General features: G+C 39.7%; 1 protein-coding gene across 27 annotated transcripts in view, besides 1 other annotated feature; it reads right to left on the reverse strand.

The window, feature by feature from the left end:
• Nucleotides 1-17,478, reverse strand: part of TFDP2 (transcription factor Dp-2) — a 205,117-nt gene that overhangs the window by 46,875 nt on the left and 140,764 nt on the right. For 16 of the 27 annotated variants that reach the window (XM_017007100.3, NM_001178139.2, XM_011513107.3 and 13 more), the window contains 3 exons: nt 14,139-14,242; nt 3,718-3,839; nt 2,236-2,283 (listed from right to left, as the gene is read on the reverse strand). The exons of 1 other annotated variant lie outside the window; for it this stretch is intronic. In XM_017007100.3, coding sequence (XP_016862589.1) covers nt 2,236-2,283; nt 3,718-3,839; nt 14,139-14,242 — 274 coding nt within the window. Of the gene's footprint in view, nt 1-2,235; nt 2,284-3,717; nt 3,840-8,949; nt 9,070-14,138; nt 14,243-17,478 lie in introns of those variants that run through there. 10 more of the 27 variants (NM_001375775.1, XM_047448779.1, XM_047448780.1 and 7 more) reach the window with 4 other exon arrangements.
• Nucleotides 9,471-9,664: a silencer, noted in NCBI's record as "fragment chr3:141719615-141719808 (GRCh37/hg19 assembly coordinates)". NCBI's record gives its function as "represses an EF-1alpha promoter that drives an FKBP-Casp9 reporter gene in an ReSE screen in K562 erythroleukemia cells {active_cell/tissue: K562}" and the evidence as "EXISTENCE:reporter gene assay evidence [ECO:0000049][PMID:32094911]".

The raw sequence follows: 17,478 nt of genomic DNA on the forward strand, positions 1-17,478 counted from the left end.
AATTGCAATAAATGTATTTCATTTTAATAAGGAGTTATATAAAATATATAGTAAAAGTTTCACTTCTTGTTAAAAAGAGAGTCAACCAGAACATTTAAATCAACAAAATATTTCAGTCTTGTTTATAAAATTAACCCTTGACCTAATTAGCAAAAAAGTAAAAAATAAAAAAAAGGCCAGGTGTGGTGGCTCATGCCTATAATCTCAGCACTTTGGGAGGCCAAGGTGGGTGGATCACTTGAGGTGAGGAGTTAAAGACCAGCCTGGCCACATGGTGAAACCCCATCTCTACTACAAATACAAAAATTAGCGGGCACACGCCTGTAGTCCCAGCTACTTGGGAGGCTGAGGCAGGAGAATCACTTGAGCCTGGGAGGCAGAGGATGCAGTGAGCCAAGATTGCGCTACTGCACTCCAGCCTGGGCAACAGAGTGACACCCTGTCTTAAAAACAAAAGAGGCTGGGCGTGGTGGATCATGCCTGTAATCCCAGCAATTTGGGAGGCCAAGGCAGGAGGATCACTTGAGGTCAGCAGTTTGAGACTAGCCTGGCCAACATGGTGAAACCCTGTTTCTACACAAAGACAAAAACCTGCTGGGCATGGTGGTGCATGTCTGTAATCCCAGCTACTCTGGAGGCTAAGACAGGAGAATCGCTTGAACCCAGAAGGTGGAGGTTGCAGTGAGCTGAGATCAAGCCATTGCACTCCAGCTTGGGAGACAGAGGAAGACTCCATCTCAAAAAAAAAAAAAAAGAAAGAAAAGAAAGAAAGAAAGAAGGAAGGAAGGAAGGAAAGAAAGAAAGAAGAAAAAAAAAGCATAAAGAAAAAAATGAAACACCACTGTGCTAAATCTTATTTAGAACAAGGAATAAAGAAAAATACATGTAGCAATCTTCGTGGTTTGACAGACGGGTGGTGGGGATACATTACAGAAAAGTTATATTCAAAACTTTTTAAAAAATGATAAAAAAAAAATGCTAGGAAAAAAAGCCACTGAACCAAATGTAGAAAGAGAAAGTTGAACCAATGGCTACACTATAAATTTAACCTAACACTTTTATGTGTTCTCACTTATAGATCTTTAGAATTCTTACTTACAAAGGAGAATAAAGAGAATCTTGGTTTTTGTACTGTTTGCAGTGCAGAGGTGCCACCAATCATAACTGACAAATAGTTCCATTTTAAGGCCTTAAACATTGCTAAATACCTCTGCAAGAACTTGTTCTGTTGCCCTTTCGAAGGATAAACACCAGTAAAGACCAGTTTGAGTTGGAAAGAGGACTTTCTGTTAGAGAGTAAAGAACATTTCATTTCTATGATACAGCAGCTCCTCAGAAGTGATTGTATCTGTTGAAAACGATTAGCACCAAGAAGCAAACAACAAAAGCCACCAAGGAACTGAAACAGCACTAGTGTCAGGGCAAGAAAACACACATCCTTTATACATATTCCCATGGTTCTCACTCAGAACCTAGTCACTTTCATTTTAGACTGAATTCTAACATATTTGGCCATCTAATTTCTCAGGGCACAGCAAATCAGAGATAGCAAATTAGAAAATGTAGGAGTTTCTGACATGGCAGGCATTTATTTTTTACTTAACAGACTACAAGTGATTCTGATGCACAGCCAGAATGGAGAAGCCACTGTCCTAATATTCTAAGATAACATGAACTTTCCTTATGCCCAACATATTGCTTAAGAAAGAAGCAAGTTTGTTATGATTTATAAATGTTTTAAGAAAAACTTAGCCGGGTGTGGTGGCTCATGCCTGTAATCCCAGCACTTTGGGAGGCTGAGGCAGGAGAATTGCTTGAACCCGGGAGGCAGAGGTTGCAGTGAGCCAAGATAACGCCACTGCACTCCAGCCTGGGTGACAGAGCAAGACTTCATCTCAAAAAAAAGAAAAAAGAAAAAATTGTTAAACTTTGGGCATGTTAGGGTAATGTGGAGTATTCACTTTGATAGAACTCTTCATTTACCAGATGGAAAGAGAGGAGAGACTAAAGGACATACTACCAATAGTCAATCTGCTCACAGGGTAATTTCTACTGAAACCATACAGATACTATGAGTGAACTGGGGCACTCAATGCAGAATGAAATAATGGCAAGAACTGAAAGAAGTTAAAGTTACATGAAGAAAAACATCGCATTAAACCAGAGCAGTGGCAATGCCAACAGCCTCTCTATATAGCCAAATCTTCCAAACAAAATAGTTAGACTTATACTCACCTTTCTGAAAAATCAGAGTCTATAAATTTTCTAGCCCGTTTTCTATCACTAAAAAGGAAAAAAGATAGCATAAAAACAATACATACTTAAATACAATTTAATTTCATTAATACTTTATTATAACTTGTCTAAAATTATACACTGAATATATTCAAAGACTAAAACTAGCAAATACAAAAGATAGGTACATAAAATAAATCTTAATTTTATCATGTGAACAAGGTATCACAACTTAATAATCATAAGTTGAAAAGAGCTCAATGACTAGCTAGAGAGGAAAACACTGCAGACTTGCAAACAAGATAGAGAAAAATTTTCTTCACTCTGCGAAATACTGACTATAAAAACACCAGACAATCCTGCCACCTCCAATATAAAGCACAAATGGGGCTGAAAACATCCAGACCCTGGTCATTTCCAAAGTGGGCCAGCACTGCTGGCACAGGCTTGGCTTTCACGTTATAATCTTTCAAGGCTATAGAGAAATCCAGGGTAACCTTTGATCTACATAAGAATGTTCATAAGGATTGAATAACACCCATAGGATTCCAGGTAATTCTGTCATTTCAGCTCATTTGATAATGGAAAAGTATGCATATACAAAACTCTTCTGTCTTTAATGTATTTGTGTTTGTACATGTGTGTAGGCATGTATTTATGTATATTAATATGTATGCATATTAAAGCACTTTGCCAGGATTATTAATTCACTTAATATCCTTGAAGCAAGGAGATTCTTACTTAACTAAGACTTACCATCTGCTTGCTCAAACTCACATATGACAGAATCACCAATGCAGTATTCCACCATGTAAATAACTTCTAAAGTAACAAAACGTCTAAGGTAACAAAATGAGGTTTTGAGTAATTTATCTTACTTATTTTTCTTTTATGGAAGTATGAGGTACTAAAATGATAAAGAGTGGAGAAAGGTATAAGTATTTTACATGCAAAGATGAAACATATAGAAGTTTGTACTAAAAGTGACAAATTAGTAACAGAAGGGATATTGATTCAATTGTTCAGCGTTTAAAAAGAAGAGGAAATTTAATAAAAAATTTATCTGGCCTCTTTTCCTACCCTTTTCTGGTCTTTATGGAAGTAATTCATAGGGGAAATTCTGAGTATAGCCAACACTTAATATTTAACTCCTTTTCTGTGTGAGTTAAAAATATATAAAAATATAGTTTTTATATCTCCAAAGCAGTTAAATATTATAATAATAAAAGTAGTCCTATTCCAGAGTTTAAAAAGTCACAGGGTTTAGTTATGAGTTATTGCACTGTTTTTTTCTGTTTAAAAATAGTTATTCCAGAGATTATTTATATCTAAGATATAAAGTGAAATAAAATAGGTGATTTTAAAGGAAAAACATTTGTTTTTAAGAACTAAACTAAAACAAGAACAGAAGACAAGATAGTAAGAAAAAAATGTCTAAACTTTTTTTAAGGTTTTAAAAATAGTAACTTGCAACACTCTTACCCAGGGACCCAGCCAGTAGCTTCTGCTATGTGTGTCTGAGTAACCATTGCTGGTGCAGGGGTATATGGACTCCCAATCAGAACACTTCCTGAACTGGTTAGTCTCTGTGGTGTGCTTATAATCTGTAAAGTTAGGAACAAAGAATATAATATTCTTAATTATTAAGAAAAGCCTACAGGCAGAAAATAACATTGATTGCTAACCTACATATGAGGAAACCTTGCTGCCTAAAAGGCACTTAATGTCAGTCATCTAAAAATATAAGCAATGCCTTTGATTTACTTATATCCTAGGATCTTAAAGCACAAGTATCCTGAATACTGACATGAGGTCACAATGCAGGTTTCAGCAAATAAATGGCAATTTGGAAGGATTAAGTAGAGAACTGATAATGCTTTAAAAATCAGAAAAATGAAAAGCTTTCTTTGAAACTGAGGAAATGAATTGCAGTACAGCTTGATTTACTAGAACCAGGGCAACAGCAAATCACACTTCCACAGTCCATCATACAGTATACACAAAGATACTATCCAGCTTGGATTATTATATAGATGCAATTTTATCCTTTTTTAAAAGAGTATTGGACCAGGAGCGGTGGCTCGTGCCTGTAAACCCAGCATTTGGGAGGCCGAGGTGGGAGGATCACCTGAGGTCACGAGTTCAAGACCAGCCTGGCCAACATGGTGAAAACCTATCTCTATTAAAAATATAAAATTAGCCAGGTATGGTGCTGTGCGCCTGTAATCCCAGCTACATGGGAGGCTGAGGCAGGAGAATCGCTTGAACCTGGAAGGTGGAAGTTGCAGTGAGTTGAGATCACGCCACTGCACTCCAGCCTGGGCAAAAAGAGCAAAACTCCATTTCAAAAAAAAAAAAAAAAAAAAAAAAGAGTATTCATGTTATTAAATACTCTTTGAAGATAGTTTAAAGACCATAAAACATTCTACCATGTGGATTTATTATTCTCTATTAGATATATATGCATTTTTAATTATTCACTATTATAAAGAATGCTGTGATAAACATTTTTGTACAAAGACCTTGCCCTTAATTTCTATTTCCTAAGGCTAGACTCCAGAAAGGGGATTAATGGAACCCCTAAAGACTTTTTTAGAAAGGTACCTTATATGTGTTACCAGGTCTTAAAATTTTCACTGGTTACAAAACAAAACATGTTTTTCCCAAAGACATTTATAATAATTAATACAAAAAAACTAGCAGCCTAGTAATAGCTTTAGAAGTATTTTCATGTAAAAAAAGGGGAAGAGGCATGCTCCGGTGAATGGGGATATTAATGAAACATGATTGGCCCCTATGTGGATAATTGTTGAAGCAACTGCTGGGTATATAGTTCTATTTTTGTAAAGTTTTGAAAGTGTTCATGATAGTAAGTTTTAAGTCCCAACTGAGAATGAAAAATATCTACAGGGACTACAAGTAATTGTTAATAAGTCCTCAAACAAGAGAAATAGTTCTATTTCTACTGCCTTATGCAAGACAAAATGCTAATTAATTTTTATCTCCCTGACCAAATGAAACATGTTTCTGCAGCCAGGGTGAATCATTAAGTTCATTGCTAACTTGCTCCATACATAACTGAAGGGAAGGATTAATAAGCATTTCAAGCTCTTTATTTGCATTTGAAGGAAAGAGTCAAACAATAACCTCTGAAGCATAAAAATAGTTCAGACCTAGTTATTAAAGTCTAGTCAACATTTATTCATTTACCAAGTATTTAAGACCTTAGTTAGAGTCTGTTTATGTTTGACTATGTTAGCTTGGGGCTAGGAAGATGTTAGCACCTAGAAATGTTTATGAAATAGTTTCAATCCGTTCATTCCATAGTTTAAAAAAATAAAAACAAAAGTTAATAATACTGACAGATGTCTGGAGAGTTCTGATTATGTACAATACACCAAGGGTATTAAATAAGGCACTCAGAAGTTTGCCTCATGAGAAAACATAAAAACAGACAATGTGTCTGTACCTCTCATCAAATTCTGCCTTGCATTCCAAGTATGCTTGCACTTCCCACTCCACACATCTGGTCCCACATCCCCACTTTCAGTGCATCCCCCATTTCAGTGCAGGATCTTTAGGGGTGGCGAGTACCTTGCTAAACTATGTCCTTTGCAGGGTTTAACACAGTGGTAGGGGATGCTCATAGGAAAGGTACAATAAATATTTACTAACTGGGATAAAATACTCAATTTTTAAAATAATAGGGGAAAAAGTAACTTCATTTATTGATATGCTAAAAGGTTTATATAAAATCCACTAAAAAAATACAGCATAGTTTCCACCAATCACTACATCACATTCTCTATCATGCTGACCTTGGATGGACAACTTATAAAGAAAAATGTGAGTTATTTGATTAGCCTCTGGTCAACCCTATTCCTTGAACAGCAGTGTCTACAAAGCTATTCTAAGCATTCCAATTTACCCTTGAAACAGATTGTATTACTACTGCAGTATTTCTATATGGTATTAGCAGCCTACATGCTTGGTTTTGCTGATTTACAGGACTTTGTAGAAAAAAAAAAGGAGCTGGGCATGGTGGCTCATGCCTGTAATCCTAGCACTTTGAGAGGCAAAGGCAGGCGGATCATTTGAGGCCAGGAGTTCAAGATCAGCCTGGCCAATATGGTGAAACCCTAACTCTCCTAAAAATACAAAAATTAGCTGGGCGTGGGGGTGGGCACCTATAATCTCAGCTACCTGGAAGGCTGAGGCAGGACAATCACTTGAACCCAGGAGGCAGAGGTTACAGTAAGCAGAGATCATGCCACTGCACTCCAGCCTGGGCGACAGAGTGAGACTCCATCTCAAAAAAAAAAAAAAAAAAAAAGAGAAAGAAAGGAAAAAAAGAGAGAAGGAAGGGAAAGAGGACATAGAGAAAAACTGGCTATCTTTATGAAAATGACTTTGAAAGTGAATTCTAGTTTACATTTTCTTTTTTTCCCTCCCTCATTGTCAGATTGTTAGCTGCGGCTGATCGGAGAGTGATTAGCAACACTCTGCTCCTTTCTCTTAGCACAGGGCCTGGTACATAGCAATTCCTTAATAAACATTTCCTACATGAACAAATTAGAGAGATGACGCACCTGAATAGGAAAGATAAGGCCTAAGAGTATGTGAGATACAGTAAGTTCCTAAACTAGGATAATGAGAGTGAAACGTAAGAAATAAAACAGAAGGAAAGTCGGTAAGACTTGAACAGCCACAGAATATAAGAAAATTGGTTTATAGGGTGATGAGCCGGTCATGCTTTCTAACCCTGAACCTTAATTTTGAAATCCCAGGCCAGGCACAGTGGCTCACTCCTATAATCCCCGCACTTTGGGAGCCTAAGGCAGGTGAGGTAGGCTCCCATTTGAGGTAGGGAGTTCGAGACCAGCCTGGCCAACATGGTGAAACCCCATATCTACCAAAAATACAAAAAAAATCAGCTGGGTGTTGTGGTGCACGCCGGTAATCCCAGCTACTCAGGAGGCTGAGGCAGAAGAATCACTTGAACCTGGGAAGCGGAGGCTGCAGTGAGCTGAGATCGTGCCACTACACTCTCCAGCCTAGGTGACAGAGCGAGACTCTGTCAAAAAAGAAAAAAAATTTGAAGTACTGAAGTTGGAGGTAAAAATATACTTTTAATATTCACTTGATATGCTAAGGAAAATGGAGTTTTAAATTTCAGAGTCCTCCTACCAAAAATCCAGACATCCTTAACTTAAATGTTATCATGTGGTTTCTCTGACAATAGAATTAGTTACTCTGGGAAAATCACATAGCAATTGAACATTACTCTGAACATTTTCCTGCCCTCAATCAACATATTTTATGTGCTACTGCCATCTACAGTTAAAAAAAGCCAAGACAGCATATGTATTCTAAAGGGAAAAAAAATTACAAAATTATAAAGTGGTATATTAAGAGATTTCACTATTTGATGGAATTTTGGTTTTCACTATAAGAAGCATGCAGTTTTTACTCTTCTAAAATAAGACAGCCATTAGATTATCTTATACAGTTGACCCTTGAACAACATGGGCTTGAACTGGGCAGGTCCACTTATACATGGATTTTCTTCCACTTCTGCCACCCTTGAGACAGCCAGACCAACTCCTCCCTCTTTCTCCTCCGCAGCCTGCTCAACGTGAAGACGTCGAGGATGAAGACTTTTATGATAATCCACTTCCATTTAATGAATTATAAATGTATTTTCCTAATGATTTTCTTTGTAATATTTTTCCCTAGGTTACTTTATTGTAAGAATACAGTATACAATACATATTAACATATGAAATAACATTAATATAACATAAAATGTGTTATTTGATTATTTATGTTATAGTAAGGCTTCTAGTCAATAATAAGGTATTAATAGTTACATTTTGGGGGAGTCAAAAGCTACCCATGGATTTGTGACTGCACAGGGGCTGTGCCCTTATCCCTTGCATTGGTCAAAGGTCAACTGTATAAATAATCTTAAGATCTATAACATATAACCATAAGACAGCCTGTAAGAAAAGGGCAAGTATCTCAAACTAAAATAGGTACTGCTAAACTAGTTTCCATAACCACACAAAACTTTTCATGGGGCCTTTTGAAATTTCTATCTACCATTAAGATTTGGCTTCCAAAAGACATGTAAAGTTCAAAGGGCAAGCACAAAAAGAAGGCTAAGAAGCAAATGGGTGAGTTTGTAATGCAAGAATTCCTTTTTTTTTTTTTTTTGAGACGGAGTCTGGCTCTGTTGCCTAGGCTGGAGTGCAGTGGCGTGATCTCAGCTCACTGCAAGCTCCGCCTCCCGGGTTCATGCCATTCTCCTGCCTCAGCCTCCTGAGTAGCTGGGACTACAGGCGCCTGCCACCACGCCCGGCTAATTTTTTGTACTTTTAGTAGAGACGGGGTTTCACCTTGTTAGCCAGGATGGTCTCGATCTCCTGACCTCGTGATCTGCCTGCCTGAGCCTCCCAAAGTGCTGGGATTACAGGCGTGAGCCACCACGCCCAGCCTAATCCAAGAATTCTTTAACTAAACAAAAACTTTTTTAAAAATCATGGATGAGGGAGTTAGAGGAGAAGCGATAAATGGCTGTAACTGGGTGTCTTAGTCCATTCAGGCTACCATAACAAACCACCTTAGACTGGGTAATTAATTAATTTTCTTTAAAGTCTTCTGCAAGGAGTACAAAACTGGGTAATTTACAAACCACAGAAATTTATTGCTCACTGTTCTGGAGGTTGCTGAGAGGTCCAAAATGAAAGTGCCGGCAGATTCAGTGCCTGGTGAGGGTTTATTCTCTGCTTCAAAGATGATGCCTTCTGGTTGCATCCTAATAGCAGAAAGGGTCCAGGGTGCTCCCTTCAACCTCTTTTATAAGGGCACTAATTCCACTCATAAGGGTGAAGCCCTCATGACTTCATCACTTCCCAAAAGGCCCCGCCTCTTAATACCACCACAGTAGGGATTAGGTTTCAACATGAATTTTTGGAGGAACCCATTCAAACCACAGCATCCAGTTCCTGGCCCTCTAAAATTCATGTCTATTTCACAGGCAAAATACATTCATTTCATTCCAATAGTCTCACAAGTCTTAACTCCTTCCCAAAATCAGATATGGGTAAGACTCAAAGGTGCAATTCATCCTGAGGCAAATTCCCCTCCAGCTGTGAGTCTGTGAAATCCAACCTGTTTCCAAAATGCAATGATGGGACAGGCACAGAACATGCATTCCCATTCCAAAAGGGAGAAAATAGAAAAGAAGAAAGGGATAATAGGTCCCAACCAATACAAAACCCAACAGGGCAAACATTAACTTTTAAGGCTTCAGAATAATCTTCGACTTGATATCCTGCCTTCTGGACACACTGGAGCAGGAGTTGGGCCCCCAGGGTACCAGGGGCCCCCACCCCCATGACTTTATTGGGGGCAGCCCATGCTGCAGTTCTCCTGGGTTAGAGTTTGAGTCTTCTGCATGTGGCTCTCCCAGGCTGGAGTTGCATGCTGGAAGCTCTACTAGACTAGGGCCTCAGGGAGCAACCCCGCGCACCTCAGCTCCACCAAGCTTTGCCCTGGTGAGGGTTCCCAATGGTGGCCTCACCTCTGTAGCAATTCTCTGCCAGGATCTGCTAAGGCTCTCCAGGGCATCTTTTGAAATCTAGGTGGAAGTTATCATACCCCGCAGCTTGTACACTCTGCACCCACTGGAGATGGCATCACTCAGACACTGCCAAGGTTCACCACCTGTGCCCTCTAGAGGAGCAGCCACTATACTTGGGCCTACTGGAGCCACACCTGGAATGGCTAAGGAGCACTGTGCCAAAATTCGGGGAGCAGACTTGACACAGTGCCAGGAAGGGATTGCCAGGGTTTCATTAGCGCCTGAAGCCCCTCTTTTGATAGTTCTGTCCCCCATGCCTTGGCACTCTGGGCCTGTGATGGGAGGAGCAGCACCGGTAATCACTGAAATGCTATGGGTTTATTCTTCCATTGTTTTGATGAACAACACCAAGCTTCCACCCATGCACGCTAATCTCCTTATCAAAAGGTGACTAGGCCACTCTTTTGGTGTTCTCTCCAAAACATGCTTTTTTATTCTTTACATGGCCAAGCTGAGAATTTCCCAAATCTTCACTTCTGATGATAAATTATATCTTTAATTCATTTCTCTCTTCTCACATTTTACTATAAACAGCCAAGAGAAGCCATGTTGATCCCTAAACACTTTGCTTAGAGATTTCTTTGACCAAATATCCAATTTCACGGCTCCTAAGTTCCTCCTTCCACAAAACATTAAAACAGGAAAACAATTCAGTGAAGTCCCTTGCCACTTTTTTGGTTGTTGTTTAGTTCTTTTATTTTTTTGAGATAGAGTCTTACTCTGTCAGGGTCACTACAGCCTTGGACTCTTGGGCCCAAGTGATCCTCTCTCCTTAGTCTCCTGAGTGGCTAGGTGCCACCATGCCTGGTTTTTTTTTTTTTTTTTTGTCTGAGACAAAGTCTCGCTCTGTTGCCCAGGCTGGAGTGCAGTGGTGCAATCTCTGCTCACTGCAACCTCAGCCTCCCAGATTCGAGTGATCTTCCTGCCTCAGCCTCCCAAGTAGCTGGGATTACAGGCACCCGCCACCATGTCCGGCTAATTTTTGTATTTTTAGTAGAGACAGGGTTTCACCATGTGGGCCAGGCTGTTCTCGAACTCCTGACCTCAAGTGATCTGCCAGCCTTGGCCTCCCAAAGTGCTGGGATTACAGGTATAAGCCACTGCACCCGGCCTAGCTAATTTTTTATTTTTAGTGTTTTTTTTTTTTTTTTTTTTTGATAAAGATGAGGTCTCACTATGTTGCTCAGGCTGGTCTTGAACTCCTGGGCTCAGGAAATCCTTCTGCCTTGGCCTCACAAAATGTTGGGATTACAGGAATGAGCCACTGGGCCCAGCCTTTTGCTACTCTGTAACAAGGATGGCTTTTCCTCCAGTTTCCAATAACATGTCCCTCACTCCTATCTGATACCTCATTATAATGGCCTTTACCATCCATATTTGTGCCAACATTCTGTTCATGACCACGGAGGTAATCTCTAAGAAAAGTGAGGCTTTCTCTATAGCTCTCCTTTTCTGATTCCTCACCAGAATCACCCTTAATGGTCCATTCATCTCAAGAGGCTTTTTCCAGCCTGTTCCTCTGAACTCTTCCAGCCTCTGCCCATTATCCAGTTCCAAAGCCACTTCTACAGTTTTAGGTGTTTGTTATGGCCACACCCCAGTTCTTGGCACTAATTTTTGTCTTAGTCTGCTATAACAAAATACCTTAGCATAGGTAATTTATAAATGATAGAAATGTATTTCTTATAGTTCTGGTGGCTGGGAAGTCCAGGATCAAGACACCAGCAAATTCAGAAGGCTCACTCTCTGCTTCATAGATGGTACCTTCTTGTAGTGTCTTCACTACATGAAGTGGGGCAGAAGGGGGCAAAGAGCTCCCTTCAACTTTTTTTTTTTTTTAGATGGAGTCTTGCTCTGTCACCCAGGCTGGAGTACAGTGCCGCGATCTCTGCTCACTACAACTTCTTCCTCCCGGGTTCAAGCAATTCTCCTGCCTCAGCCTCCCGAGTATCTGGGACTACATGTGTGTCACCATGCTTGGCTAATTTTTTGTATTTTAGTAGACATGGGGTTTCACTGTGTTAGCCAGGATGGTCTCGATCTCCTGACCTCGTGATCCACCCACCTTGGCCTCCCAAAGTGCTGGGATTACAGACATGAGCCACCACACCCGGCAATTTTTGTATTTTTAGTAGAGATGGGTTTCACCATGTTGACCAGGATGGTCTCAGTCTCTTGATCTCATGACCCGCCCACCATGGCCTCCCAAAGTGCTGGGATTACAGGCGTGAGACACCACACCCAGCCTCAACTTCTTTTATAAGGTCACTAATCCCCTCAATGAGAATGAAGCCCTCATAGCTTAATCACTTCCCCAAAGGCTCTATCCCTTAATAGCACCACAATAGGGATTAAGCTTCAACATGAATTTTGGAGGGACACATTCAAGAGACAGCAATGGAATCTTACAACAATTAGGAAACCAAAAACAAAATTCTGATTCCTGCCCAAGAACTCAGAACTGAAAAAAGGACCTCAGAAGTAGGGGGACAAATTAAGTACTTGGGATGGCCCAGTTGAAGGTAGAGTTCCAAATCGCCTCTCCTTCTTGTGACCTTTGTTTTGCTGATCCTGAGATTTACAGTAACTGAGTTAGTAGCACACATCACTACTTATTATTAACAGAACTGGACTGTGTAAGGGCCAAAATGCACATTAGTTCAAACTGACAATGGGAGAAAAATTATACATGCTTCCAAAGGAGAAATTCAAATTGGGGTATAGCAGCATTAAACAAAAAATAATAGAAAATAATCTCTCAAAACAGAAGAGTACTGTAAGGGCAAGACTCATAAAAATTTGAGTATGTTTAATTTTGGTGCTTATATAATCACATTTCAAAATGCAGATTTTTAAGTCAGGTGCTTTATCTCATTTGCACCTATAGTAGTGGCTGAGGAGGGGCAAATGCTTAGCAAATGTCTGAAAATATAACCTGAGCTACCTTGAAATGAGGGCTCTTATTTGAGCTTAAATCTCTATGAGGTTTGGAGCTAGACTACATTCTTCACATAGTTACAGTAAATTGTGTTGTATCTTTAGCTTGATTTCTGCAGATGATAAACAGTCCTCAACTAACCAAGGAAAATATCATGTCTAGAATGTGTCCTGAAGTCTTAGAGACTTTCTGAAACCATTAGGTATGTTAAAAGATATCTTTGTCTAAATAACTTTGCATTTAACATAGTCCACAGTGCTGTTGTACATTATGGGTAAAATTTATCCTTATTGCTCTATAGATGAAAAGATGAAAACACCGGCAATGAAGAGTTATTGCTTAAATGTTTGAGTACTTTTACTAATGGTGGGTGAGGCCATTTAGACATAGTTTCAGAGTAGTGGAATGCAACCTTGCTTATAAATAAGTCTTCTGAAAGTGCTACACACTTCATGCTCTAGCATAATTAATGAATGTCTTTAGAGAAACAGTTGTTTTCCATTTTTCATTCATTATTTCTACTGCTACAGATTAAAATAAATTGGTATATTGTTTTTTCCCCAAAAGTCCTTAATGAAAGGAGTTTTAAATTAATAACTCCAGATGTAAATTAACTGTTGGGTCACAGATTCCATTTATGTGAGAATACATAGTTTAGAGTAGTAAAGGTTATTTTATAAGAAAAAGAAAAAAGCAGGAAGACATAAAGCATAACACATTTCAAATCAATTTAAACAATACAAGAGAAACCTCACATAAAGAGGAAAAGACTTAATACTACACATCCAGAATCCACAGATTCAAATATGTGAAAATTAAATATCAAAGAGCACACAATGTTTCTCAAGCTCAAAACTTGACCAGATACATTCAGATAAAAACAGAACGTTTTTTAAAAGTGACTCAGATAACTGAAATTAACTATAATTTTTTCTTTTTCTTTTTGAGACAGGGTCTTGCTTTATCACCCAGGCAGGAGTGCAGTGGTGCAAACACGGCTCACTGTGGCCTTGACCTCTTGGGCTCAAGCAATCCTCCCGCCTCAGTCCTCCAAGTAGCTGGGACTTCAGGCATGCGCCACAGTGCCCAGCTGTTTTTTGTAGAGACAGGGTTTCACCATGTTGCCCAGGCTGGTCTTGAACTCCTGGGCTCAAGTGATCCACCTGCCTCGGCCTCCCAAAGTGTTGGGATTACAGGAGTGAGCCACCTACCGCGCCTGGTTTAACTGGAATATCTGATCAAATATATTTAATGCAATTATTCTTTAAATTAGTCTTGGCTAAACAAAGTTTCAATTCTAAGATTTGATAATTTTCTTACCATTTGGGGTCCAACATTCACATTTATTGGTCCTAAGGTTTTTGGTAAAATCTTTGTAGGTGAGTTGGTATTGGAAACTGGAAATGCAACAAATGAAATGTTGCCTGAAATGATATCAAAACATTAAGTTAGTATTCTGCCATACCAAGGCCATTTTCTAGCTATATACACACCCATGGTCCTAATTCATTATGTTGAGGTAATTTATAATTATCTTAGGAAGCATATTATGAACAAAATACACCTTACTGAAAAGTCATACTAATGACTGCTTTGTTGTAAGGAATACAATTAATTTTGCTGCATAACTAATCTTATTTATATTTTACTGAAACTCTATAAAATAAATAGTTCCAATTATCTGACAATTAACTACGAAACTTTCAGTTAGTCTTTTAGAAGAAAAAATTTTTAGAGAATATGTAACGCAAATCACAGTTTATATCAGAATTGAGAAAGAGATCTTTAATAGACATAACAGAACAAATAATATACTTGATGATGAAACATAACATGAAAAGTAAAATAACTATTCAGATTTCTTTATAGTATAAAACACTGAGACTAAAAGCTAACATATTTTCAAACTGTCAAATTGGTAATGCTTTAGGGTTTTATAACTAGAGAAAAAACATGGTGCTAACTAGTTATTAATACTAGAAACAGTGGGATCTGTACCGTGTTTTCAAGTGATTTCAGTATTTTAAATTTCAAATTAACATAGCAAACTGCTACCAAGAAAATTCCCCCCAAAAGGAAAAGCCAACCTATTATTTTCTGAACTATAACATCAACTACTTAATTCCCCCAACAAACTTCAGCTTATCAATGTTTCTCTCAGAAGTTAACAGTGTAACAAAATATATCAAAGGAGATCATCCATGAAGTATGTGAAAGAAGGCCAACACTAAAACCCTGGGGACAAGCAACATTTAAGGGTAGGACAACAAAGACATTTCCTTCTTAGTTGCCTTCCTCAGATGACCCCCATCTTCCAAAACTTGACCACACTCTTTAATTCCCTTACTATTTTTTTTTTTTTTTTGAGATGGGGGTCTCGCTCTGACACCCAGGCTAGAGGACAGTGATGCAATCACAGGTCACTACAGGCTCAAACTCCAGGGCTTAAGTGATCCTCCCACCTCAGCCTCCAAAGTGGCTGACACCACAGGCATGCATCACCACACCTGGCTAACTTTTTTATTTTGTAGAGATGGGGTCTTGCCATGTTGCCCAGCCTGGTCTCAAACTCCTGGGCTTCAAGCAGTTCTCCCCCTTAGCCTCCCAAAGTGCTGGGATTAAAGGCTTGAGCCACGGCACCCAGCCTAAATGACTTCTTTTTCTTTTTCTTTTTTTTTGAGAGTCTTGCTCTGTCACCCAGGCTGGAGTTCAGTGGCACAATCTTGGCTCACTGCAACCTCCGCTTCCCAGGTTCAAGTGGTTCTCTCGTCTCAGCCTCCTGGGTAGCTGGAACTCCAGGCACCTGCCATCATGCCTGGCTAATTTTTGTGTTTTAGTAAAGATGGGGTTTCACCATGTTGGCCAGGCTGATCTGGAACTCCTGACCTTGGGTAATCGCCTGCCTCAGCCTCCCAAAGTTCTGGATTACAGGCGTGAGCCACCACGCCTGGCCCTAAATGACTTCTTTCATCTCTGCTCTGCACTTTCTGCCTCTTCAGGGATCTCACCCATCAATTATCTACTCTGTCTCCGGAATTTTCAACTATTCCATTGGCCCTTTCCCTTCAGTTTTTCTGCCCATTTGGCATTATAGAGTTAATTTTCCCCCTAATTCCACATATAAAAATCAAATTCTATTTCTTGTACCCACTCAGCAAGTCCTAGTACCCAAATCTGCTTCTCCTTCCTGTTCTCACTCGATATATGACTGAGCCCTCTTATACGATCATCGAATCCACCCAGTGATCTAATCTAGAAATGATCTTCAGATCTTCACTCCATCTCCTCCTCATTCAACTGACCACCATATTTGTTATTTCCTTATTCTAGTTCCTTTATGCTAGTGGTCCCCAACCGTTTTAGCACCAGGAACTGGTTTCGTGGAAGACAGTTTTTCCACAGACAGGGGTGAAGGGAGGTATGGTTTTGCAATGATTCCAGAATATTACATTTATTGTGCACTTTATTTCTATTATTATTACACTGTAGTATATAATGAATTAGTTATACAAATCATCACAATGTGGAATCAGTGGGAGCCTTGGGCTTGTTTTCCTGCTACTAGAGAGTCCCATCTGGGAGTGATGGGAGATAGTGACAGTTCATCAGGCATTAGATTCTCATAAGGAGTGTGCAACCTAGATCCCTCACATGCACAGTTCACAATAGGGTTTGTGCTCCTATGATAATCTAATGCCGCTGCTGATCTGACAGGAGGCGGAGCTCAGGCAGTGATGCGAGTGATGGGGAGTGGCTGCAAATACAGATGAAGCTTTGCTCACTCACTGGCTTGCCTGCCTGCCACTCACCTCCTGCTGTGTGGCCCAGCTCCTAACAGGCCACGGACTGGTACCTGGTGGCCAGTTGGGGACCCCTGCTTTATGCTGCTGGCACTCGTTTAATTTGCAACTTCATATCTGGTTTGAATACAGTTACCCTCTAACTCAGTGATTCACAATACTGGCTGTCCGGTGGAATCACCTGGGGAACAATGAACAATACCAATTCCTAGGTTCCAATCCTAGAGCTGCTGATATAATTGATCTGGGGTGAACCTGGGCATCGGGCCATTAAATGTTCTCCAGACAGTTCCAATGTGCAGCCAGGGCTGAGCACCACGGCTCTTACTAGATATCCTACCTCTAACAGCTTTCCTAGCCACTCCATGCATCTATAACAAACCAGTCTTTCAACTGGCAAAACTGTTCTGAACACTCCCCTAATAATGGTTTTTAAGGACTCCACAACACTTCCTAAATGCCTCTCAGACTCCTCAACATGGCACAAAAGCTCGCAGTGGAGATCCCACCCCTGCCTCCTTTCACAGTTTCATCTTCAGCTGCTCCCTCCACATGTACCCCACAATCCAACCAGATTAAATACTTTACATTTCCAGAGAGGCCCCAATTCAACCACCTGGCTTTGTTATACACCTTTCCTTCTGCTGAGAAGGCCCTTCTCTACTGAGCCAACTCCTACCTACTAGCACTTCAAAATGGATGGATTCCACACCATTTTCTGAGCAATTATTATGTCCCCAGAGTGTTTCAGAGGTTTCCTACATATACATACATATACGTATGTACATATATACATACGCATATAAAGTGTATATATATATACACACACATATATATGCACACATACACACTGTTGTCCT

This window comes from Homo sapiens, chromosome 3 (genome assembly GCF_000001405.40).
Source record: "Homo sapiens chromosome 3, GRCh38.p14 Primary Assembly".
Taxonomy (NCBI): domain Eukaryota; kingdom Metazoa; phylum Chordata; class Mammalia; order Primates; family Hominidae; genus Homo; species Homo sapiens.